Raw genomic sequence first — 24,544 nt, forward strand, 5'->3', positions numbered from 1 at the left:
ACATTGTTACCTTCCATTTCATCATCTAACCTCAACTCAAGCATCGCCTTCCAGAAAACCCTCTTTGACCCTCCCAGGCAGGAGTCTGTTCTCCAGCTTTCTATGACAAAAACAGTCCAGCGAATGCTTCCAACCTAGAACTTAACATAATCATTGAAATGGCCTCTCTGTTTCTTCCAGCTCAGTTTTAACTTCCCTGAGGGCAGGTACTTGTCCATCTTTCATCTCATTATCCTCAACATCACAGGAACACAAAAATAAAGGTTTGTGGGACACAGAATGCTGAGCCAACAACACACTTAACTGCTGCTGTGCCTGTGGCCAGGAATTCACACCACTTCAGCTCCTTGAGGGGTTAACAGACTCTGGGCGTCCTAACTTGCATCAGCTGATGAGAAAAATCTTCAAAATGCAGCACCTGAATGTGTTCCTTTTAAGTCATCGTTGCACAATCGATAAGTTTTGGTAAAAGACTTTTTGAAAGACCAAAAATATGGTGTTTTATTTTTCTTCCTTATATTCTGGAGTTTGCATTTAAAATTCACATCCAGAATCAGCTTTGTTTCTTAAAGGAGGAAACTCCATGAACAAAAGCACACAGATAATTTTCTAGCATGGAAAAGGCTGAGAATGAGTCTGGAGGGGAAATGGGAAAACAGACAGGGTAGGAGGGAGCATCCCACACCTGAGAGCTGGACAGGGCTGGCAGAATGAAGGAGGCAGCCGGAAGGCAAAACCACCAGGGACAAGGGACTCAGCCTCTTGGGGATCACTCCCAGGGGAGCTTATTCCATTCCTCAAGTCCTGATTCCTGCAGCCCCCTGTTCCAAACCCACCCCCCTTGCAGACCCACACCTTTTGTCTTGCTTCTTTCTCCCACCCAACACCTCCCCACACCCAACCCTGGCGTTGTGTTCCCATCACCCATTATTCAAAAAGATGAAGTGAGCAAGAGTCCAGACCTTCGCTCTGAATGACTTGAGTTTCAGTTCATCCCTGACATATACTTGCTGCGTGCCCTTGAGGCAACCTTGAGCTTTAACCTCTTTGAGCCTCAATTTTCCCACCTGTAAAATCCAGTTGACATACCAGCGCGAGGCTATAACAGGGACTAACTGAGATGAACTAGGCAAACTGCTTAGCATAGCATGGCAGTCAGCTCAGGATGCCGTCACCAAATCCCACAGACTTGGTGCTTAAATACCAGAAATTTGCTTTCTCACAGTTCTGGAAGCCACAAGTCCAAGATTAAGGTTTGGTTTCTTCTGACGCCTCTCTCCTTGGCTTGCAGATGGCTGCCTTCTCACTGGATCTTCACATGGTCACCCCTCGGTCTCTGTGTGTCAGGGTTCTAATCTCTTCTTACAAGGACACCGATCATATCGGATTGGAGCCCACACATATGACCTAATTTGACCTTAACTACCTCTTTAATGGCCCTGTCTCCAAATACATTCCAAGGTACTGGGGATTTAGGAATTCAATGTACAAACCTGGAGAGGGCATAATTTAGCCCATAACACATAGTAAGCACTTATGCTGTGGTACTTATCAAAACCTGCCTTGTCAGTTACAATGCTGATGTCCTTTTACTAAATTCTAAGTGCTGTGGGCTGACTGACAGGAGGGCTTGGTCTTTTTTATTCTTTCTTATTGATGATCACCCAGGCCCTATCTGGTCCTCGGCCCTGGCTGCAGCATCTCCTCCTGCCTCCTGCTGCTGCCTCCACAATGAGCTCCACTCTGAGCCTCCAGTGGCCTTGGGTCTTCTCAGAGGTCACTTCTTCTGGCTGGACAGCTCTGTTCCTCCTCTGGCCTCTCCTGGTCTCTTTCTGGATGTGGACCAGGCCCTCCACGCCCTCTCCATAGCCCTGCAAGGCTGTCAGCTCCACCCAGGCGAGGACTCTTGTCTGTTTCTTCCCTGACATATCCTCAGCCCCAACACAGTTCCTGATACTTAGTTGATCTTCCTTTGGGGAACATTGCTAGAGTCAGCAATGACACCGTTCTCTGAGCTAGGCCTTGCCCAGTTCTTTGTAATGAACAATCAGATGGACATCTCAGGACATCACTGCATCACAAGCTCTTTCATTGTGTAGCCAACAGGCTAAACAGTGTTCAGAAACGATCCACAGAGCTTTCAGCCTTCCAAGAGTATGACTTTGTTTTTTTTTCCAATGTCCAAGCAGTCCAGAAAAGTCACACCCACTCCCTGGGGTGGATACAGAGCTGAGGCCACATCCTCACAGCCAAGCCCTGGTGGCCCAATCTGGAAGCGGCTTCAAAAAAGAAAGATATTCTCATATTCTGACTCTTCATGTTACCTCCTCAGAGCAGAAATGATGACCTATGGGAGTCTGATCATAATTCTATTACCCCATCTGGGATAGGTACAATGGCAGGCTTTCTCTATTAAATAGACATTAAAATAGCATAAGCTTTGGACAGATTCCTCATAAGAATCTGACAACTATCACATGTGCACTCTCCTTTCTCAATACACTGACTCCATCTCCTGGAAGGCAGGCCACTGATCTTGCTGTAAGTTACCCAAAAACAGTGGACAGCGGTCACAATTTGTTCATCTCATTTGGTCCTCACAAAAAAAGAGGGGAAGCATCATTAATTGTGTAATGAATGTTAGGAGAGCTCCAGCGTCCTAAAGGGGAATTTGAAAAAAAGGTCTGTCAGAAAGCATGCAGTATGTAGGCCAGGTGCAGGGGCTCATGCCTGTAATCCCAGCACTTTGGGAGGCCGAGGTGAGCGGATCACCTGAGGTGAGGAGTTCGAGACCAGCCTGGCCAACAGGGCAAAAACCCGTCTCTACTAAAAATACAAAAATTAGCAGGTGTAATGGCACATGCCTATAATCCCAACTACTTGGGAGGCTGAGACAGGAAAATCACTTGAACCCAGGAGGCAGAGGTTGCAGTGAGCCGAGATCGCGCCATTGCATTCCAGCCTGGGCGATAGAGCGAGAATCCGTCTTAGAAAAAAAAAAAAAGAAAGAAAGAAAGAAAAAAGAAAAGAAAAGAAAGCATGCAGTATGTATTTTAGAAGGAAGGAAAGAAGGAAAAAGAGGATGAGGGAGAGGGAAAGAGGAAGAAATGAGGGAGAGAGGGAAGAAGACAGGAATGAAGAAAGAAAGAGGGAGGGTGGCCAGGTGCGGTGGCTCATGCCTGGTAATTCCAGCACTTTGGGAGGCCGAGGCGGGTGGGTTACTTGAGCCCAGGAGTTTGAGACCAGCCTGGGCAACATGGTGAAACCCCATCTCTACTAAAAATACAAAAAAGTAGCAGGGCTTGGTAGCAGGTGCCTGTGATCCCAGCTACTCAGGAAGCTGTGGTATGAGAATCACAGAAGAATCGAGAATTGCTTGAACCCTTGGAGATGGAGGTTGCAGATTGCACTACTGCACTCCAGCCTGGGCAACAGAGCGAGACTCTGTCTCAAAAAAAAAAGAAAAACAAAAACAAAAGAGGGAGGGCAAAGGTGGAGAGGGAAGGAAAAATGGAGGAAGAAAAGAAGAAAGGAAAGGTCATATTCCCCAGAACCTTTCCACAGTACTTTAAACATAGTAGGTACTTAATAAGTATTTATGGAATTGAACTGAACTGCCCAGGTATCTGTAATACCATTTTCTCAACTCCAGCCTCACTTCCTAAGCATTTTCTCTAGAGAGAGGTAAACAGAAAAAGAAAGCGTTCATTCCACCAGTTCTATGCCCTTCACCCCATGCATCGGGCCTGGCCATGGGCCGGGCCTGCCCCTGCAAGGACAGGACAAACTGATCCATGTCCTGTCTCGAAGCTGGTTTCCTGGCAGGACTGTAACTCAACATTCTGGGAAATACAAATATCCCTGGTAGGTAACTCACTCTTGAGTTGAAGCCGTCGGTTTTTATTCATAAACAAAGTAATGAGTGAGCAGTTGCTCAACTCTTTTTTTGTCTGTTTGTTAAAAGAAAGGCCATAAGAAGCAAAGCCAAATGCAAACAGAACAGAGGTATAAATAAACAGCCGCTCTGGTGAGTGCCAGGAAAGAGCTTAGCGTGACTAAAGGAGAAAATGTAACAGGTAAACTTCCTCCTAGCATTTCTTATGCAGCAGGAACCAATTCCTCCAAATAGCCATGCTCACTGTATCCTTTTCCCAATACTGAGGCAAGCCTTGGTCACACCATCACCAGGCACCTGGGGAAAACAAACACAAGGGACCCTGCCTTCCTGCGAGAATTGAACATTCTGTGAAAGTGACATTTCAGGGATGCAACAATTTCTACACCTTCTATTTGCTTGAGTGTCTATTTGCTTCTATCTTTTCTAAATAATATAACCACAAAAATCCATATTTGCAGAATGCATAATCAATTATTAGGGCTACCAAAATCCTTTCCAAATCAATCTTGGACTAGTGGCACTAACCTGCCAATATGAGGGTTAAGAAAATCATGCAGTACAGGAAACAGAGGAGGACTGGGCCATAGGTTTGTTTCACGATTGCTGGTCTTCACTTTGATCTGCATATGCTCATTTACCACCTTCCACCATACTTCCAGCTTAAGTAAAATGGGGATTGCTTACTCAGCTGGGGAGAGCAAGAGTTGTAAAACAGTGTTTACAAAGATGTGCCTGAGTGAACAGAAAACCGAAAATATTTACCAAAGGATGCTCAGTGTGTCTTAGGAGAAGAATGTTGTGCAAACATTTTTGAGGTCACTATTCTTCATAATTTTTTCTAACTATAAATTATGTATGTATAAAATCTGTATATTCATTATAGAAATGTTAAAAATAAAGAAAATTAAAATCCTCTTTAATTCCACTAGCCAGAGATAATCAGTATCAATATTTTGGTGTATGTCCTTTTATTCTGCTTTCTATAGATATTTATATACCGTTTTTATTTTCATAAAATTGGAACCTATTGCTTCAATGATTTACTTTTTTCACTCATTAATTGTAAACATTTTCCCATGTTATTAAATGTTTTCTAGTAACACTTGGAGGGAGGGGAGAGGTCTTTGCAAATTTCATAGATGAAAAGAGGTATGTCAATGTAATTTCCTAGTTTACTATGGAAGTTAAATAAGAGATATTTGATAATTTTCAAATTCTTTAAGTTCAACTCGAACAGACCAAGAGAAAATTAGAGGCAAAGAGCATAGCGCTGAAACCTGAAAGCAAGCATAATTAATAAAATATAACAACCCAGATGAAAGCTAATAGCCATGCTTTATATCCTTAAAGGGGAAAACTTGGTAAATTTATGTAAGATTGTATTATATATGGATTTAAAATTAAGACATAGAAAAAAGTCATTGGTTTATTGGTATTAGAAGTAACAATGTCACCTGTCATTTCAGGGTCCCATTTTCTTTGACAGAAAATGAGAACAGTCACTTGAAATACTAAAAAGAGCTAACGAGTATGTCTTCAATAAACACAAAATATAGTGAAAATTCCAAGTATTTATGACATAAATTATATGAAAATGAGAATATTAATATGTGTCTACCATAAAAGGATACACACAAAAATAAAAGCCAATTTTGAGCAACGTAAATATCTACAGAGAGGAGGAAAACGCTGAAGTATTATTTGCATAATCTAGATACATTGCTCTTAATTCAACAAGTATAAATTTATATCTTTAAAATCATGACAAAGTGCATATTTTATCGATTAGCATAATAGATCCCTACAGTTATATGACTATAGTGTACCTGATGAAAATATATATGAATGCAATCGTCCTTGAAAATAAATGCAAAAACAAGTACTGAACTTGGATTATTCTTCAATCCACAATATTCACTTAAAAAAAAAAAAAGAGCCAGACTAATGAAATGAAAGTTGATGTAAATGTATAGCGTGTGTTTCCAGCTGCACCTGCTCCGATGCGCACCGAGGCAAATGTAAGAGACAGAAAGAACCCACCCAGCGGGGCTTTCTCTGCACACCATACCCCTCCCTCTCTCCAGGGGAACTAAACATTCGCTTCTGTCCAAACCCAAGGGCTAATGAGAGCTGGTAACAGCCAACGAACGACAGACACAAAAGCGACCTTCGCCACACCTGGATATCTCTGATGCTCGCTATGGGACAATGGGTGGATTGGGTCCACGTCGCAGACAACCAATGGCCTTTTCAGCAGCAAGAGGAAGAGGAGGAAGTCCCTGAACTTAGTGCGTTTTGCATTTCGGGGTGCCCTGGTAGGCGTGATTGACAACTACCCCCTGAGGAAAAAAACGTGCGAAATTCCAGAAACAGCAATCCCAGCCCTAAAAGGTCAAGAAAGTGCTTTTGGCCCCCAAACTCTGAAAACCCCGGACCACAAGCCGAGCCCCTCCCTGGTCTCTGCCGCCAACCCCGCGAGCCAGGGAACCCCGGGCCGCTCGGCCGCGCATGCGCCGCGGCGGCCCTGGCTGGGCGTGGGAGCCGCGTGGCCCGAGCGCGCACAGTACCAGTTTGTCCATGGCGCTGTGCTGCGGCGCTCCGCTGGGACTCGTAGCGCTCCCCCGGTGCAGGGAGGACCCCGCCGCAGCCGCCGCGCCCTGCCCTCGTCTGCTCTCCGGAGTCCGCTCAGGCCGCCCGGCTAGCCGGCTGTTTGCTGCTCCTGCCGTTGCCATGGCGACGGGCAATGCTCCGCCTGGGCCTGGCCACCGCCCCCAGCGCGGCGCGGCGCGGCTCGGCTCGGCGCTTCCAGGGCTCCGGCTCCCGAGCTACTTGCATGCTCGGGGCCGGCTCCGGTTCTGGGGAAGCCCAGAGCTTCCGGCCTGCCACTGGGCCCCAGATGCCGTTTCTTGACTATTTTCCATTAGGTTTCTCTTAGCTCTCCCCTGATTGTTTAGCATTTGTTTGAATGTGGAATTTTGAGTGTTTCTAGCTTTAGGAGGAAAAAATAATTCAAAATGAAATTTAGAAGATTTCAACATTAATTCGCACAGTCTTGATTATTAGTCTTAGACTGTAAGTTTTAGATTCTTCTCATAGCTTCCGTGTCTGGTACCTTCACAGCTATTTCTCCAGCTAAGACCTCCATAGAAACGTTTAACTTTGAGTTTTAATCTATAGGTAATAAAGATAACTTTCTAAACACTGTACACCCATCAGAATAATACCTCATTGGCATGTATGAATTCCAAGTAAATTTGCCTTAAAGCACTTTCCAAAAAAATTTGAATAGAAATATTTCGTATCTGCAAAATCTTTCTCATCTGGGCCAGCACTGTCCAATAGAAATATAATGCCTGACACATGTGAAAGTTTATGTTTTTAGGAGCCACATTTTAAAAAGTAAAAGAAGCAGGTGAAATTAATTTTAATAGTATGTTTCAGTTTCTTCATTCATTAATGAAGTCATTACTATGTTTCAGCCAAAATATTATTTCAATATGCTACCAATATAAAAATTATTCATGAGACAGTTTACATTCTTTTATCGTACTAGTCCTCGAAATCTGATGTGTATTTTACACGTACAGCACATCTCAATTTGGACTAGCCACATTTCAAGTGCTCAATGGCCAGTGTGACTGGTGGCTACTATATTGGTCACAGCAGATCCGCTAGGCCAGTGCTTTCCAAACTTTTTGGCACCAGGGATTGGTTTCGTGAAAGACAGTTTTTCCACAGGTGGGGCAGGGGGTGGTTTCCGGATGATTCAAGCACATTACATTTATTGTGCACTTTATTTCTATTATTATTGTATTGTAATATATAATGAAATAATTATACAACTCACCGTAATGTAGAATCAGTGGGAGTCCTGATCTTGTTTTCCTGCAACTAGATGGTCCCATCTGGGGGTGATGGGAGACAGTGACCAATCATCAGGCATTAAGATTCTCCTAGGAGTGTGCAACCTAGATCTCTCCCATGGGCGGTTCACAATAGCATTGGTGTTCCTATAAGACTCTTATGCCCTGGCTGATCTGACAGGAGGTGGAGCTCAGGCAGTAATGTGAGCGATGGGGAGCACCTGTAAATACAGATGAAGCTTCATTGGCTTATCTGCCTCTCACCTCCTACGATGAGGTCTGGTTCCTTAACAGACCACAGACCTGGGTTGGGAGCCCCTGCACTAGACTATGAACTCTAGGAAGACCAGCCCCAGATCTCCATGAGGCGGGGAGGATTTCGTCTCCTTGTCAGGCCTGCTAAAACCTGATTAACTTTTTTTTTTTTTTAGACGGAGTTTAGCTCTTGTTGCCCGGGCTGGAGTGCAATGGCCAAGTCTTGGCTCACTGCAACCTCTGCCTCCAGGTTCAAGCAATTCTCCTGCCTCAGCCTCCCAAGTAGCTGAGATTACAGGCACCTGCCACCACACCCAGCTAATTTTTTTGTATTTTTAGTAGAGATGGGTTTTCACCATGTTGGCCAGGCTGGTCTCGAACTCCTGACGTCAGTTGATCCGCCCTCCTCCACCTCCCAAAGTGCTGGGATTACAGGCGTGAGCCACTGTGCCTGGCCTTTTATTTTTTTTTTTAAATTGAGACAGAGTCTTGCTCTGTCACCCAGGCTGGAGTGCAGTGGCACCCTCTTGGCTTACTGCCACCTTCACCTCCCGTATTCAAGTGATTCTCCTGCTTCAGTCTCCGAAGTAGCTGGGATTACAGGCGCACGCCACAGCACCCGGCTAATTTTTGTATTTTTAGTAGAGACGGGTTTTTGCCGTGTTGGCCAGGCTGGTCTTGAACTCCTGACCTCAGGTGATCCCTCCGCCTCCCAAAGTGCTGGGATTACAGGTGTGAGCAACTGTGCTGGGCCCTAATTAACTCTTGAACAAGTGTTCCCATTCCCACCAGAGGGAGAAACATCCTTAAGTGGCAAAAACACTTTTCAGAAACTGAGAAAAGTAGAAATGACATTCCAGTCGTCTGCTTTTGTAGACAGTTTGTGTAACTTTGCCTGCAAAGGGTATCTTTGCCCCGTGGTACCTCTCTTGTTAGCCTGAAGAGGAAGCCAGCCTGGGACTCAAGGTCGCTGGGCTCCTTGCTGCTGTCAGGGAATGCACAGTGTCATTGTCCTGCCTCCCTCACTAGAATATCATCAGAATTCAGTGTAACCCTCATAATCGCCTTAGAAGGTTTTAGAACCAGGCCCTCAAGAAAACAGTGTTTGTTTTAACAGAGGTAAAAACTCTGCTTGGTCAAAATATGCAGCTTCAAGGGAAAAGTCTGTCCATAGAGGGCAGGTCTAAGAAGGGGACATGCAAGCTAATACTTGTCTAGGTAATTTTATGTATTAACTCATTTTATCTTAAAACATCCTCTAAACTTGGCCATTATCATCAGTGCCCCTACCTATTACAGATGAGACACAGAGAAAGATGAAGTGGCCTCCCCGAGGCTACATAAGTAGAAGAGTAGAAGGAGCTGGGAGCCCTGGTTCCACCTCGTGCCTCTGGACTCTATTGAGATGACAGACAGTATGGAAGGTGGGCGGTGGGGCAGGCGTCGAGGGAGGGGCATCTTCAGGGAAGCTTCTGTGTTGGGCACTTCTGTGCTGACACGAGTCTTTCTGATTTCAGAAAGAGACCGGGGGTAAAGCTGGGCTAATACAATCTTATAGTTCCCTGATCTGTGCCTTTTTAGGCAAAATGTGACCTACACACTTTTATCTTTGATGTTCCCTTCCTGCTGAAAGTCCTTTGCTCCCAGAAAGATGTATGCTGTTTAGGATCCCCAAGCTAGAGTGGAATTCCTTGGGTCTGGCCTGGGTTTCAGAGCTTCCCCAGCCATCCTGGTCTACCATTAATACTGAACAACTCCCTCCCCCGGGCACTACCCCCCATAGGAACCCCTTGTGGCTTTCCTGCTAATATTATAGATTAATTTCTGCTGTGAGAAATTGTTGGTCAGAACAAGATAGCTGGCTCAGGTGGCTCTCACACCCTTCCTACAGCTATACTCGTAAACTTGACCTTCTGGAGATGGAACCAGCTCAGTGATGGGAACCTTGAGTGAGATGACTGGCTGGTGGGGAAGATGCTGGAGGTGAAGGAGCTTGCAGGCTCCTTTGATCTTGCCTGTCCAGACCATGGCCGGAAATGATCCTACCATTGAAGGAATTAGATTAAACTGCCTCAGGAAATAATTCCATTTATTTCTTTTCCTAAAAACAATTTTTTTTAAATGGAATCTTGCTGTGTCGCCCAGGCTGGAGTACAGTGGTGCAATCTCAGTTCACTGCAACCTCTGCCTCCTGAGTTCAAACGATTCTCCTGTCTCAGCCTCCCGAGTAGCTGGGACTACAGGCATGTGCCACCATACCTGGCTAATTTTTGTATTTTTAGTGGAGACAGGGTTTCACCATGTTGGCCAGGCTGGTCTTGAACTCCTCACCTCAAGTGATCTACCCACCTTGGCCTCCCAAAGTGCTGGGATTACAGGCCTGAGCCACCATGCCCAGCCTCCTGAGAAAATTTTAAAGTAAGCCTCAATCTAAAACCTCCACTCAACTGGTCTTTTAACATGAGATTTATCCTTGGTGCCTTCATTGCCTAGCACACAGTAGGTGCTCAGAAACAACTCTTGAATTTTAGAAGACTAAATAATTGGACACATAATGATTTCTTTCTTGTCCACCCACATAGACATGAAGACTAATCACAGAGAAGTACAAAATTTCAGATCTAAGAATAACCAATTGAGATTATGTTTTATTTTATAGAAAAGACTATAACTTTATGCGGCCGGGTGCAGTGGCTCATGCCTGTAATCCCAGCACTTTGGGAGGCTGAGGCAGGTGGACCACGAGGTCAGAAGTTCGAAACCAGCCTGGCCAACATGGGGAAACCATGTCTCTACTAACACAAAAATTAGTCAGGTGTGGTGGCGCATGCCTGTAATCCCAGCTACTCAGGAGACTGAGGCAGGAGAATTGCTTGAACCCAGGAGGTGGAGGTTGCAGTGAGCTGAGATCGTGCCATTGCACTCCAGCCTGAGTGATAGAGCAGGACTCCATCTCAAAAAAAAAAAAAAAAAAAAAAAAAAGAAAAGAAAAAGAGATGATCATTTTATTAAAAAGAAAACAAGGACTGACTCACTGGAGGTCACATAGCTATTTATTGACTGAAACAGGACTAGAAACCAAGTTTTCTTTTTGTGTTGTGTTTTAATACACTTTAATGCTTAAAAATCATACCTTTCATTCTCTAGGTCTGATTTTCAGGATTACAGAGCTTTACAGTGCTCTCTCAGCTCACTAGCGCTCCATGCAAGTCATCATTTTTGCCCATTATTACAGTCATATAATAGTAACCTCTTTCTATTTTGCAGAAGAGAGACAGAGTTTACTAAATAAAATTTTATTGACAGCTTTACTTTCATAATTTTGGGGGAAAACTTTTGTTGCCTGTCATAAACTGTGGGCTAGCAAGTGTCAACATACAATGAAGGAATTAATCAGTTCAAAAATCAATATTAATTCACGTGATAAACTTGGCAGTGGCAGAAGTCACTGTTTGTTGGCTCATCCATCCCTGTTTCAATGTCTTTGCCTGCCTCTAGCAGAGCAACAGGAAACTGTCAATATTTCCCGGCCACCTTCATAGCTATGGGTGGTGCTATGACATGATTCTGGCTTAAATGACAGTCTACTAGGGCGCCTGGGAATCCTTTTGCTTTCCTGATGAAAGAGGCAGACCCAGCTGTCTCTTTCACACCTTCTTCCAGCTGGAACTTGGCCCTGATGCCTGGAACTGTTGCAGTCAGCCGTATTATAACCATGAGGGCATAACCATTCAAATTACAGAAATGATAGCCTTGACATCTCTGAATCTCTGAACCAACAATAACAGGTGCCTCTCCCAAACCCACTTGTTACATGGGGAAACTGAACCCCTGTCTATTTAAAGCATTGTCAATTGTGTTTTCTCTTGCCCAAAACTAAAAGCATTCCTAATCAATACAGCAACTATCAACTATTCTCAGATATTTTTGTGGGTCGATTTTATTTTACAAATCTAAGACTTTTAAGTTGTATAAGCAGAGGTTCATTTCACCACCATCCCAACCTTACTGGAGGAGGGGTGGCATGAGTTAAACAATCAGTGAATGAAATCTCAAATTGGTTTGGCTCAGGTCCACCCAAGGACAGATGCTTGGTGAGTGGCATCTGTTCCCCTCCATGACTGCCCCCAGCAACCTGGGTGTCCAGCATCCCACTCTCTGCTTTGGAGGTAGGGGATAAGATGGCTTACAAGTGTCCTTGGATGTTGAATCAGGAATGTCCACCCCATGTCAATCAGATGAGCTTCCAAAGTCTCCAGGCACAGGCAGGTGTCAGTGCTGTATGAGCAGATGCCCAGGCGTTGGCCCCCCTTGGGATGCTTTTGCCTGATGGTGATGAGTAGGGCTGCAGGCAGGCTCCCCTCCTCATTCATAGATGCTCCTTTAAGGATCTGTGGCTGACGATGGACAGCACTCACTCCTTGCAGGCACCGTTTTCCTGCTGGTCATTGTGGTCCACAAGCCCATGGGTAGCATCTTCAGGTCCCTTTAGCCACTTGGCGGCTCAGTCTGCTCCTCCCGGTCTCTCCCAGTCCTGCTTTCATGCTGATAACAGCTAAGAACTCCATGATGTGTGCCATGGCATCTAGGCTGCTACTGCCATGCTGCCTTCCACAGACGAGTGGTACCAAAAGGCACAGTAGTGGATATTTGTCCTCTTTAGCTGACTGCCATCCAAATCGCCTTCCTGTACTTGGAGAATTTCCTCCCAAGCAGAGCCCTCTATCCCCCATAGAAACTAAAAGTACCAAGTGCTTTCACAGGCACACTTACAACTAGGGCATCATCATGTGACCCAGACGTGACTAATCAAATGCACCCACCTTGGACTTGAATCAGGAGCTGGTTAACCCAAAACACGCGACAGTAGAGAGTATATTCCAACAGAGGTGGCAGTAGCAACAGCGGCATTGAGTTTGCAAGGGCAGCTTGGGCAGCAGTAGCCTCTAAGTCACGTGTCCAGGAGCCAGTATGGCTTGTAGCAATGTCCTCAGCACACTGGTTTCATGGCAGGATGTTTGACTGTGCTCTTGGGTGCAAATGACATATCCACCTGGCCGTTTTCCAAGCCTCGCCATTCAACGTTATCAACTATTCTGAGCTGCCTGATATCCTTTTAATAAATTCTTTTTTTTTTTTTTTTTGCTTCAATCAGTGATGGTCAATCTCTATTGTTTGCAATTAAGAATCCTGATGCATTTGCTTTTGGCAATTTCATTGTAAAATCTTTGTCCATGCCTATGTACTGAATGGTATTACTTAGATTTTCTTCTAGGGTTTTTATGGTTTGGGGTTTTACATTTAAGTCTTTACTCCATCTTGAGTTAATATTTGTATAAGGTGTCAGGAAGAGGTCCAGTTTCAGTTTTCTGCATATGGCTAGTCAGCTTTCCCAGTACCACTCATTAAATAGGAAATTCTTTCCCTATTGCTTGTTTTTGTCAGGTTTGTAGAAGATCAGATGGTTGTAGATATGTGGTCTTATTTCTGAGATCTCTATTCTGTTCCATTGGTATATGTGTCTATTTTGGTACCAGTACCATGCTGTTTTGCTTACTGTAGCCTTGTAGTATAGTTTGAAGTCAGGTAGTGTGATGCCTCCAGCTCTGTTCTTTTTGCTTAGGATTGTCTTGGCTATACAGGCTCTTTTTTTTGGTTCCATATGAATTTTAAATTTGTTTTTTTCTAATTCTGTAAAGAATGTCAATGGTAGTTTGATGGGAATAGTATTGAATCCATAAATTACTTCGGGCAGTATGGCCATTTTCATTATACTGATTCTTCCTATCTAAAAGGATGGAATGTTTTTCCATTTATTTCTGTCCTCTCTTATTTCCTTGAGCAGTGGTTTGTAGTTCTCCTTGAAGAGGTCCTTCACATCCCTTGTTAGCTGTATTCCTAGGTATTTTTAATTTTCTTTGTAGCAATCGTGAATGGGAGTTCATTCATGATTTGGCTCTCTGCTTGTCTATTATTGGTGTGTAGGAATGCTTCTGATTTTTGCACATTGATTTTGTATCCTGAGACTTTGCTGAAGGAACTTCAGCTTAAGGAACTTTTGAGATCATGTTCTTTGCAAGGACATGGATGAAGCTGGAAACCATCATTCTCAGCAAACTAACACAGGAACAGAGAATCAAACACTGGATGTTCTCTCATAACTGGGAGCTGAACAATGAGAACACATGGAAACAGGGAGGGGAACAACACACACCCGAGCCTGTTAGGGGGCAGGGAGGGAGAGCATCAGGATAAATGGCTAACGTATGTGGGGCTTAATGTGCTATATGTGATGGGTTGATGGGTGCAGCAAACCACCATGGCACACGCTTACCTATGTAACAAACCTGCACATTCTGCACCTGTATCCCGGAACTGAAAATAAAATAAAATTTAATTTTTAAAAAAAGAAGAATCCTGATGGATACACCCACACATTTGATACTACAAGACTGTTTGGCAGTATTTGTGTAATGTACTTTATAAAAGTTTGGGAATGCTAATTAACAAAATGAATTATGAAAATAGAGAAGGAGAGATGTAAGGTAGCATAGTATACATAACCTTCTCACAACTGGGGAGCAAATTTTAAAAGTTAAGCTCTTCAAAGGGAGTCTCTTTGTAGGAAGGAGGAAGGTGGTTTCCTAGTTCCTAGCCTTGTTTACCAGTCACAAAGGTGTATTATTATTTAGGGTTCGGCCAGAGAAACAGATTCAGTAAGATGTATATGTATGCATACATGTATGTGGGCATGCACACACACACACACACACACACATACACACACACACACACACACACACCCATATATGCAAACTGTATATATTTTATATGTGAGGAGATCTATTTCAAGGAATTGGCTTACACAATTGTGTGGGTTGGCAAGTTGGAAATCTGTAGAGCAGGCTGGAAACTTGTGCAGGAGCTGAAGCTGCAGCCCACAGGCAATATTGCTGCTTCTTCAGAGAGATTCAGTTTTTATCTTAAAGCCTTTAGACAATGACTACTTGCTGACAGCATTCTGCTACAAAACAAACAGAGATATATTTTAAAGTGCTGTTATTTGCAAAATATTATTAATAAAAATGCTTCTATAATTAAAACTTAGACCCCAGAAAAAAATAAAATCTTATGACATAGAAAGCTAAGCACAGAAGATGAATCCTTTTTTTATCCATCTGAGAAAATATAAAACTGCCACAGAAGGATTAAGCTAAAAAGGACCCTACCAAAAAGAAAACCCAAAGGCTTTTCCACTGGACCTTATATTTGTAGAATCATGGCTTAACAAAATATTTCTATCTAAAATGGAGAAAATACTACCAACAAAAATAGTGTCTGGACCTCAATATCTAATAGTAAAATTCAACAAGCAGTTTTGGGTTTACAATTACACTAAATGCTAACCATGTAATACATATAATAAAATTGCATTTACTTCTGCCAAGGTGCAGTGTTCTACTAAAAATAATAAAGCTGGGTGGGTGGGGTGGCTCACACCCGTAATCCCAGCACTTTTTGAAACCAAAATGGGAAGATTGCCTGAGCCCAGGAGTTCAAGACCAGCCTGGGCAACATAGTAAGACCTTGTCTCTACAAAAAAAAAATTTCTTTTATTATTATACTTTAAGTTTTAGGGTACATGTGCACAACATGCAGGTTAGTTACATATGTATACATGCGCCATGTTGGTGTGCTGCACCCATTAACTCATCATTTAGCATTAGGTATATCTCCTAATGCTATCCCTCCCCCCTCCCCCCACCCCACAACAGTCCCCGGTGTGTGATGATCCCCTTCCTGTGTCCATGTGTTCTCATTGTTCAATTCCCACCTATGAGTGAGAACATGCGGTGTTTGGTTTTTTGTCCTTGCAATAGTTTGCTGAGAATGATAGTTTCCAGCTTCATCCATGTGCCTACAAAGGACATGAACTCATCACTTTTTATGGCTGCATAGTATTCCATGGTGTATATGTGCCACATTTTCTTAATCCAGTCTATCATTGTTGGACATTTGGGTTGGTTCCAAGTCTTTGCTATTGTGAATAGTGCCGCAATAAACATATGTGTGCATGTGTCTTTATAGCAGCATGATTTGTAATCCTTTGGGTATATACCCAGTAATGGGACGGCTGGGTCAAATGGTATTTCTAGTTCTAGATCGCTGAGGAATCGCCACACTGACTTCCACAATGGTTGAACTAGTTTAGAGTCCCACCAACAGTGTAAAAGTGTTCCTATTTCTCCACATCCTCTCCAGCACCTGTTGTTTCCTGACTTTTTAATGATCACCATTCTAACTGGTGTGAGATGGTATCTCATTGTGGTTTTGATTTGCATTTCTCTGATGGCCAGTGATGATGAGCATTTTTTCATGTGTGTTTTGGCTGCATAAATGTCTTCTTTTGAGAAGTGTCTGTTTTTAGCCAGGTGTAGTGTTTCATGCCTGTGGTCTTAGCTACCTGGGAGCCTGAGGTGGGAGGATCACTTGAGCCCAAGAGGTCGAGGCTACAGTGAGCCATGATCACATCCTTCCCCTCCAGCCTGGGCAACAGAGCAAGACCCTGCCTAAAAATAAATACATAAAAACAATAATAATAATAAAGCTTCATAAAGTGGATTTGCTGTTTTATCAAAACAATATTTTCCACCTATATCGGAATGTAGCCAATTCATTTTTAAATGGTTGGAAACAAATAATGGTGAAAAATAATCTGTCCAAGAAATGGCTGCTTTCTGGCACTTGGATGACCTTACTAATACTTTTTAATATTGAAGTGTTAAAGCAATTTCTCAGCCAATTGAAAAAAACGTGTCAAAGTTTTATTCTGAATTCTCCACAGAGAAGAAGCAACCAATTCAAAGATGTCCCTTTTGTTAGACGTCTTAGAAAAAAAGAAAAGAGAAAAAAAAAGAAACAACTAAAGAAACATTTTCCAAACTTGGAAATAAGAAAAAGGAAGCTTTTGTGACTTTTGAGTCTTAGAGTGGAGCATTATTAATTATCCCATCCAAAGATGATTTAATTCTTTAGGGGAATGTACCTTTGAATGAGTATTTATCACTGACTAGGTCACAGACTCTGTGAAGTTATAGGGTAACTCATAGATTTCTGTTCAGTAAACATGAAAATGATGTCTGTCTGGGCGCAAAGATAATCATGGATGTGGTACTCTGTGCCTGTATTGACTCAGGAGGCTGAGGTGGGAAGATCATCTGACCCCAGGAGTTCAAGGCCCACCTAGGCAATATATATGGTGAGATCTCATCTCAAAATATATACACGTTATATATATATATACACATATACATACATACATATATACACACATACATACATATATACATATATACACATACATATATACATATACATATATGTATATGTATGTATGTATGTGTGCATATATGATAATCAAAAGAGTTACTATTTTATTGTCATGGGGGACATTAACCAGTTTGATAGCTATCTTTACACTCTTCACTGATAATAAATACTTCAGAATGTCCTCTAATTCTTAAGCCAGATGGATCTCTCGTTAATGAGTTGAAAAAGCATTGACATATCCTGTTGTATATTTATATGAGAATCATGCTTTAAAATTTTTTAATGATACTTTGTTATGATACGGTATCAACTATGCCTGGTGACATCAGACTTCTCAAAAGGCAGATGGTCAGTTGGGTGGGTAGGTAGATAACTTTCCAAATGGATTATTTAACCTTCTTCAAGTGTGTCAGACTACTGCTCAGAAACGCTAATTTCTTCCCAAAAGGAGTTATAAATTGTGGCAAAAAATTTCTATAGCAGACCTTGTTTGGGACAGTTTTCTTTCTCAGTTGCCATTTTGAATTTGGAAAACATTATATATACGATCTACCACCAATTGACAAAAATAACCATAGAATTACACTCTATCACAGGATTACACTGGGGGAGGAATATCAGAAAGAAAATATGCCAGAGAATTCCTAAAATTGGGCACTTGAAAAATGTTTCCTGCCAATGAAGAGGAGGCCTTGTCACATGCCTCTACATGCTTCCTAATCTATAGTCTCCTTTCTGAGAACACAAGCCAGAAAGGGAAAGTGAATTTCAAAACGCCTCATCTTTGTCAAGCTGCTTTGATGAAAAGTAACAGAAACTCATTCAAATTGTCGGAAGGAAAGAGAATGAGGTACAGGGAAGATGTAGGAAGAATCACAAGTAAGGGTGGGAGGAATAGCATGGCCAGCCAGAAGCATCCAGCCAGCAGCACCTGTCAGTGGCCCCAGTATGACCCCCTCCTAATCTCTGCTTCTCTCTGCATAACTCTCCCTGCAGACCTTGGCTTCGACATGCACACAGCAGAAGCTTGCTACCCCATGACATCCAAGTTTTAAAATCCTTAGTTCAAACACCCACAAGAGACAGACTGGCAAGTGTGTCTTAACCCCAATTCTTGGAGGGAATCTTAGGGCTGCTGTTCACCTTGGTCCAATCAGCCCTGACCAGTGAAGCCAGCAGGACCAAGGAATCCATCCCTGTGAGAGGGAAGAAGCTATCAGAGAAGGAAGGGCATGGAATAAGGTGCTGTCTTGGTCTGCTCAAGCTGCTATAACAAAATACCATAGACTGGGTGGCTTCAACAACAGACATTTATTTTCTCATAGCTTTTCAGGCTGGAAGTCCAAGATCAGGATGCCAGCATGAAAACTTTCTGTTGAGGGCTCACTTCCTGCCTTGCAGACGGCCACCTCCTCACCGTATCTTCACTTGGCCTTTCCTCAGTAAATGTGCATGTAGAGGGATCGATCTCTCTCTCTGTTTCTTCCTCTTCTTAAAATGCCGCCAGTCCTATCAGATGAGGGCCCCATGCTTATGACCTCACTTCACCTGAATTACTTCCTAGAAGCCCTATCTTTAAACACAGTCATGTTGGGGGTATGACTTCAACAGAGAAATTTGGGGGAACCTATTTCATCTCCTAGCAAGTGTCTTCTACAAGCTGAAAGGGACAATTTCAAGAATGCCGAACCTTTCTTCCCACTCTTTCAGCCTCCATCTCATGCCATAATTTTTCATTACTTTCTTTATTCATTCATTCATCAATCAAACAATGCCAGACACTATATTAGGGAAAAAAGATGAATGAGACACCCTCCTTGCCCTTATGGATCTCCCTGGCCAAAGGGAGAGTAAGATCTATAAATGCCAAAGAAAGAGTACAACACTATATGCATTTAGAGGAGGTATGTACAAAGTTTTCTGGGTGCACAGAAGAAGAGAATATGACAGGAACTCAAGGAACTCCTGACCAAGGGGATCTTTGAGTGGCCCTAACACTGAAGAAGACCTACTTCCCACTGTACAATTGTTTAGTCTCTTCAGTACTTTTTTGTTATCATTAGATTTTTTCCTGGGCAAATTGTGAAACCTTTCTCCAGAGTTGCTATAATAGGGATGCTTTCTCTTTGGAATCTATACTCCTTAAAGCCTTTTACTCTCAACAAAGAACATTTGTAGAGCCCACTAGATTCCTTAAACAAGTAAAGAAACTTTTAGTTCGATAAATATGACCATTCTCTTTAATGGTCAAACATACTAGAGCTTCAGATTTCTCTCAAACCAGTTCCTTATTGGATCCATCAAACAATTAAAGTGCCATCACCACATATTTTTATACATACTACCCTTAGATTAAGATCATCAAGGTCAGTCTGGATAGAAACTTTTGTTTTTTTGAGACAGAGTCTCGCTCTGTTGCCCAGGGTAGAGTACAATGTAACACGATTTTGGCTCACTGTAACCTCTGCCTCCCAGGTTCAAGTGATTCTCCTGCCTCAGCCTCCCAAATAGCTGAGATTACAGGCATCCACCACCAAGCCCGGCTAATTTTTGTGGTTTTAGTAAAGACGGGGTTTCACCACGTTGGTCAGGCTGGTCTCGAACTCCTAATCTCAGGTGATCTGCCAACCTCAGCCTCCCAAAGTGCTGGGATTACAGGGTGAGCCACTGCGCCCAGCCAGAAACATTTTTTTAAGTAATTGAATTACAAAGTTAGATGAGATTTAAGATATATGAAGACTTAAATAAAATTAATATTTATTTAATGTGATTTTTAAAATTTAAATGAATCTCAACTTATATCACTTGCCATTACTATTAGTGCGATAATCATTGTTCATTCTCTCAGGTTTTTCTCACCAGGGCAAAAATGGTGTAACAAGATCTTTGGGAAACCGTTTCCTGCTGGGGTGACCCTACAAATCCCCTGTTTTTAGGTAAACTTGTGAATAGACTACCTTAAGATTCTAGATGCACAAAGTCTCATAATTTAGACTCCTCAAAACTGGATGTTTTTGATAACAAAAATAAGAATTGGTCTCCAATGTGTCTTTTTGCTATGTGTAAAGAAGGAGTTTGCTAAGTAAATGGATCGTGTATTCAAAATTTGTTTGAAGGAAAAAAATTTAGCCTGTTGAATCTTCCTATAAGTAATTACATTTTTTAAATATTTGTAGGCACTCCAGAGAACCATGTATTCATAAATCATTAATAAGTTAATTGGAAAGCATTCTTACGCAGTCATCAAATCTGATTCCCTGAGGACTCCTGCTGGCAATGCTTTGCTATCCTAGGCCTAATTGCTGCGTATATTTAAAAGTAATAAACACTGTACTTAAAAAAAAATCTGAAGTTCACTCATTTGTCTGAATTAGTAAGAGATGCAGATATGTGTGTGTGTGTGCATGCAGCATGTGTGTGTGTGTAAATATTTGAAAATCCCTTTCAGTTTTCCTTATCTGAATTGCCCTGCCCTCTCCCTAGCAGTTTGACAGGAGTGAAAGTGGGATGCCCCCCCATAGTTGACCAGGCCAGGTAAGCCCTAGCTTGCCTTTAGGACAGTTTTGAGAAGGTGAAATTCAAGCAGGAAGACCTTATCTGTTCTGCCAGGAGGCTGAATCATGCAGATTGCATTTTCAGGTTAAGCAGCTAGAAGGAGGAACGGGCCTGGCAAACTCAACATAACACATTCAACTCCACCCCAGTTTCACCCTAATGGCATCTTTTCTTGGTAGTATTTGAAAAAGAGTGACTAAAGAAATATTTTCCTTTCTGTTTTATTTATTCTTATCTATTTGATTTTTATTCTTTGATATCATAAGATAGCCCCGTCTAAATTTTCTCCAAACTATCATTTATCGAGTGGCACCAATGTTTGGGAAAATTCATTGCCAGCAATCAAGCATGATGTGCTCTTTTTAGAAATGTTCATTGATTTTCCTCTAAATCATTGCAAGGGTGGATACGTACATTTTACAACATGAATAACCAGAAATGAGAGTCAAACTCCTGGAAAATTCATTGACTTGGTTCAGGTTAAACAGTGGATCCTCCACTTGAACATTCATTATGAAAACACAGTGATGATATTACTCTTTTCAAAACTAGTCTTCATTAAATGGATTTTTAAAGAGTTTTTGGTTCTAAGAAACTTGATTCTGTGTACACCAGTAACTTTTTTTTTTTTTTTTTTTGAGACAGAATTTCACTCTGTCGCCCAGGCTAGAGTGGAGTGGCGTGATCTTGGCTCACTGCAACCTCTGCCTCTCAGTTTCAAGCAATTCTCCTGCCTCAGCCTCCTGAGTAGCTGGGATTACAGGCACCGGCCACCACGCCCCACTAATTTTTGTATTTTTAGTAGAGATGGGGTTTCACTACATTGGCCAGGCTGGTCTCAAACTCCTGACCTCAAGTTATCTGCCCACCTTGGCCTCCCAAAGTGCTGGGATTACAGGCATGAGCCATCATGCCTAGCCACCAATAACAATTTTATTAATATCTTTGTTAATGTCAAATGACACGTGTCCCTTAATACGTGGCAATATCTGTTTTCCAGACTCCACGGGCAGAAGGTACTAGGATGTACGAGAAGGTACTGTGTTCTCAGTGTAATGTAGCATTATTTCAGTTTGCTTAGAGCTGTACCACAATAGGGGATGCCGTGAAGAGGGTTAATGTTCGAGCTACTTTGCGTGTGCATATTTTAACAAGATGTGATTTAAAACTCTGGGAAGCACAGATGGTTGATCAAGTGCAAGAACTGTGATAGATGGAAGATCATATATGAATGCTAAGCCCAATTACAAACAACAAATAGCACCCACAATGTTGTCACTTTGGTCATTCTGCAGCAAGAAGTTAATGGCAGATGACATTACCATTCAACAATATATCAATCAGTTTTGTGAGAGACTCATCCTCTCCACATTCTTTCCTCCTTTTGGCAGAGTTTAAGAGTATAAAGTGTGGGAAGTTCATTAGCCTCTCCCCACTCATTCTAGGGGTACTTTCCAAGACCCTTCCCCATTCAAGTCAAGTATTATGGTCATTAGCCAACTAGGAAAGCCATAGCCAACCCTTGCTGTTGTTGGATTGCCCAGTTACCATCTCTCCTTTCTGGACATCTCACCTCCTTTTTACATTTAGCCTGCTACACCCCCTGCCTGTGGAGCCCCGCTGCAGGACCTGTCCTTTTCCAGACCTTGAAGTCACTAGAAGGAGAATGTATTAGTCTGTTTTTATGCTGCCAATAATGAGACAACATTGGAAAATCATGGAGGACATGATTTTGTCCCCATGCTATGTACATTGAAGTTTCTCCAGAAACCTGTATAGGAGGAGGGAAGGTAAAGAGAGAGGAGAGGAGGCACGAAAAGATGCTCAACATCATTAGTCATTAGTGAAATGCAAATCAGAACCACGAGGAGACAACACTTTACACCCACTAGGACGGCTGAAATAAAAGACAGACAACAAGTGTGGGTAAGGATGTAGAGAAATTAGAACCCTCATTCATTGCCGGTGGAAATGTAAAATGTGTACATCAACTTTGGCAAGCAGTCTAGTAGTTCCCCAAAATGCTAAACATAGAGTTATCATGTGACCTAGCTATTCTACTCTTTTAAGTATAGACCCAAGAGAAATTAAAATAATATGTTCAAACAAAAACTTGGATGTAGTGTTTATAGCAGCATTATTCATAAGGCAAAATGTGGAAATATAATCTAAATTGCTGAATAATATTCCACTGTATGGAAATACCATGTTATCAACCCAACTGATGAATGGAGAAACAAAAAATGATTTGTTCATGCGATGGAATATTACTTGGCAACAAAAAGGAATGAAGTACTGATACATACTACAACATGGATGAACTTTAAAAATACAATGCTGAGTGAAAGAAGCCAGTCACAAAATACCACATATTGTATGATTCAGTTTATGTGGATTCTCCAGGGTAGACAAATCCACAGAAACAGAAAGTACATTAATGGTTTCCTAGGGTAAGGGAGGGGGCAGATAGAGAGTGACTGCTAATGAAAAGAGGTTCCTTTCTGGCGTACTAAAAATATTGTAATATTTGGCCTGGCACGGTGGCTCATGCCTATAATCCCAGCACTTTGGGAGGCTGAGGCAGGAGGATCACTTGAGCCCATAAGTTTGAGACCAGCCTGGGCAGCATGGCAAAACCCTGTCTCTACAAAAAATATGAAAATTAGCCAGATGTGGTGGCGCATCTCAGCTACTTGGGAGTCTGAGGCAGGAGAATCACGTGAGCCCAGGAGGCAGAAGTTGCAGTGAGCCGAAATCATGCCATTGCACTTCCGCCTGGGCGATGGGAGTGAAACCCTGTCTCCAAAAAAAAATTTTTTTCGAAAAATTAGATTGTGGTGACAGCTGCACAATTGTATGAATATACTCAAAAATCCTTGGACTGTGCACTTTACATGGGTATATTGTATCATATTTGAAATATAAGTATCGGTAAAGTTGTAAAAGACAGAGGAGGAAACACATTCCATGTGACTTAAGGTTAAGTTAAACACGTTCTTGAATGTAAACTATCTGGGAAATAACATCCCCCAACAGACATAAATCTAACATGAGTAGCCTTTTCTAGCAGCAACAGGTGACCCAGTTTCTCCCACTGTGGGAATTAAACCTTTGAATTTGATAGATAGGAGGGAGCCACCCCATTCAGAAAATTATCCTTAACAATACTTATAGGTTTGGTCAGAATGACTGAATTCACACCACAGGATGAAAACTAAAGGTAGTTTACAATATGGTTGATTAAACATAATTAGACACCCGAAACGATAATGACACAGAGGAGGAGGAAGTGGACTTAGAGTTAGTAATTTCTGCCTTCTCCACGAGGAACCCTGTGGGGGTAAGATCATGTTTCTGTTCTGGTCCAGCCAGATTTTTCCTTGCCCTGATTCATCCTGGTTCCGCCTGGTGCTGCTCTGCACCCCACAGGGCTCTGGTCTCAGTCTGATCGGTCCTCAGATGTCCCTTTCTTGTTGCAGAGCCCCTATTATTTGCAGAAATTTCTCTTCCTCTGCACGAACCTTACTCATCCTCTGCGACCTGATCAGCAGCATGCCTAAAACAATATGGACCCCAAAAGGATCTGACATTAATTTCTTACTGCCCCTAAAATGGCTTCCATTTCTCTGTAGGCGCTACCTCC

General features: G+C 42.4%; 1 protein-coding gene across 9 annotated transcripts in view, besides 1 other annotated feature; it reads right to left on the minus strand.

The window, feature by feature from the left end:
• DNAH5 (dynein axonemal heavy chain 5) overlaps positions 1 to 6,636 on the minus strand; it is a 321,491-nt gene extending 314,855 nt beyond the window's left edge. For all 9 annotated transcript variants that reach the window (XR_001742034.2, XR_001742035.2, XM_017009177.2 and 6 more), the window contains exon 1: positions 6,466 to 6,636. Coding sequence is in view for 7 of the 9 variants with exons in the window: in XM_017009177.2 (XP_016864666.1) it covers positions 6,466 to 6,630 (165 nt within the window). In the remaining 2 variants the exon portion in view is untranslated. The remainder of the gene's footprint in view (positions 1 to 6,465) is intronic.
• Positions 6,332 to 6,781: a silencer, noted in NCBI's record as "silent region_15932". NCBI's record gives its function as "represses an Ori minimal core promoter by ATAC-STARR-seq in GM12878 lymphoblastoid cells {active_cell/tissue: GM12878}" and the evidence as "EXISTENCE:reporter gene assay evidence [ECO:0000049][PMID:35858748]".

This window comes from Homo sapiens, chromosome 5, assembly GCF_000001405.40.
Source record: "Homo sapiens chromosome 5, GRCh38.p14 Primary Assembly".
NCBI classification, from domain to species: domain Eukaryota; kingdom Metazoa; phylum Chordata; class Mammalia; order Primates; family Hominidae; genus Homo; species Homo sapiens.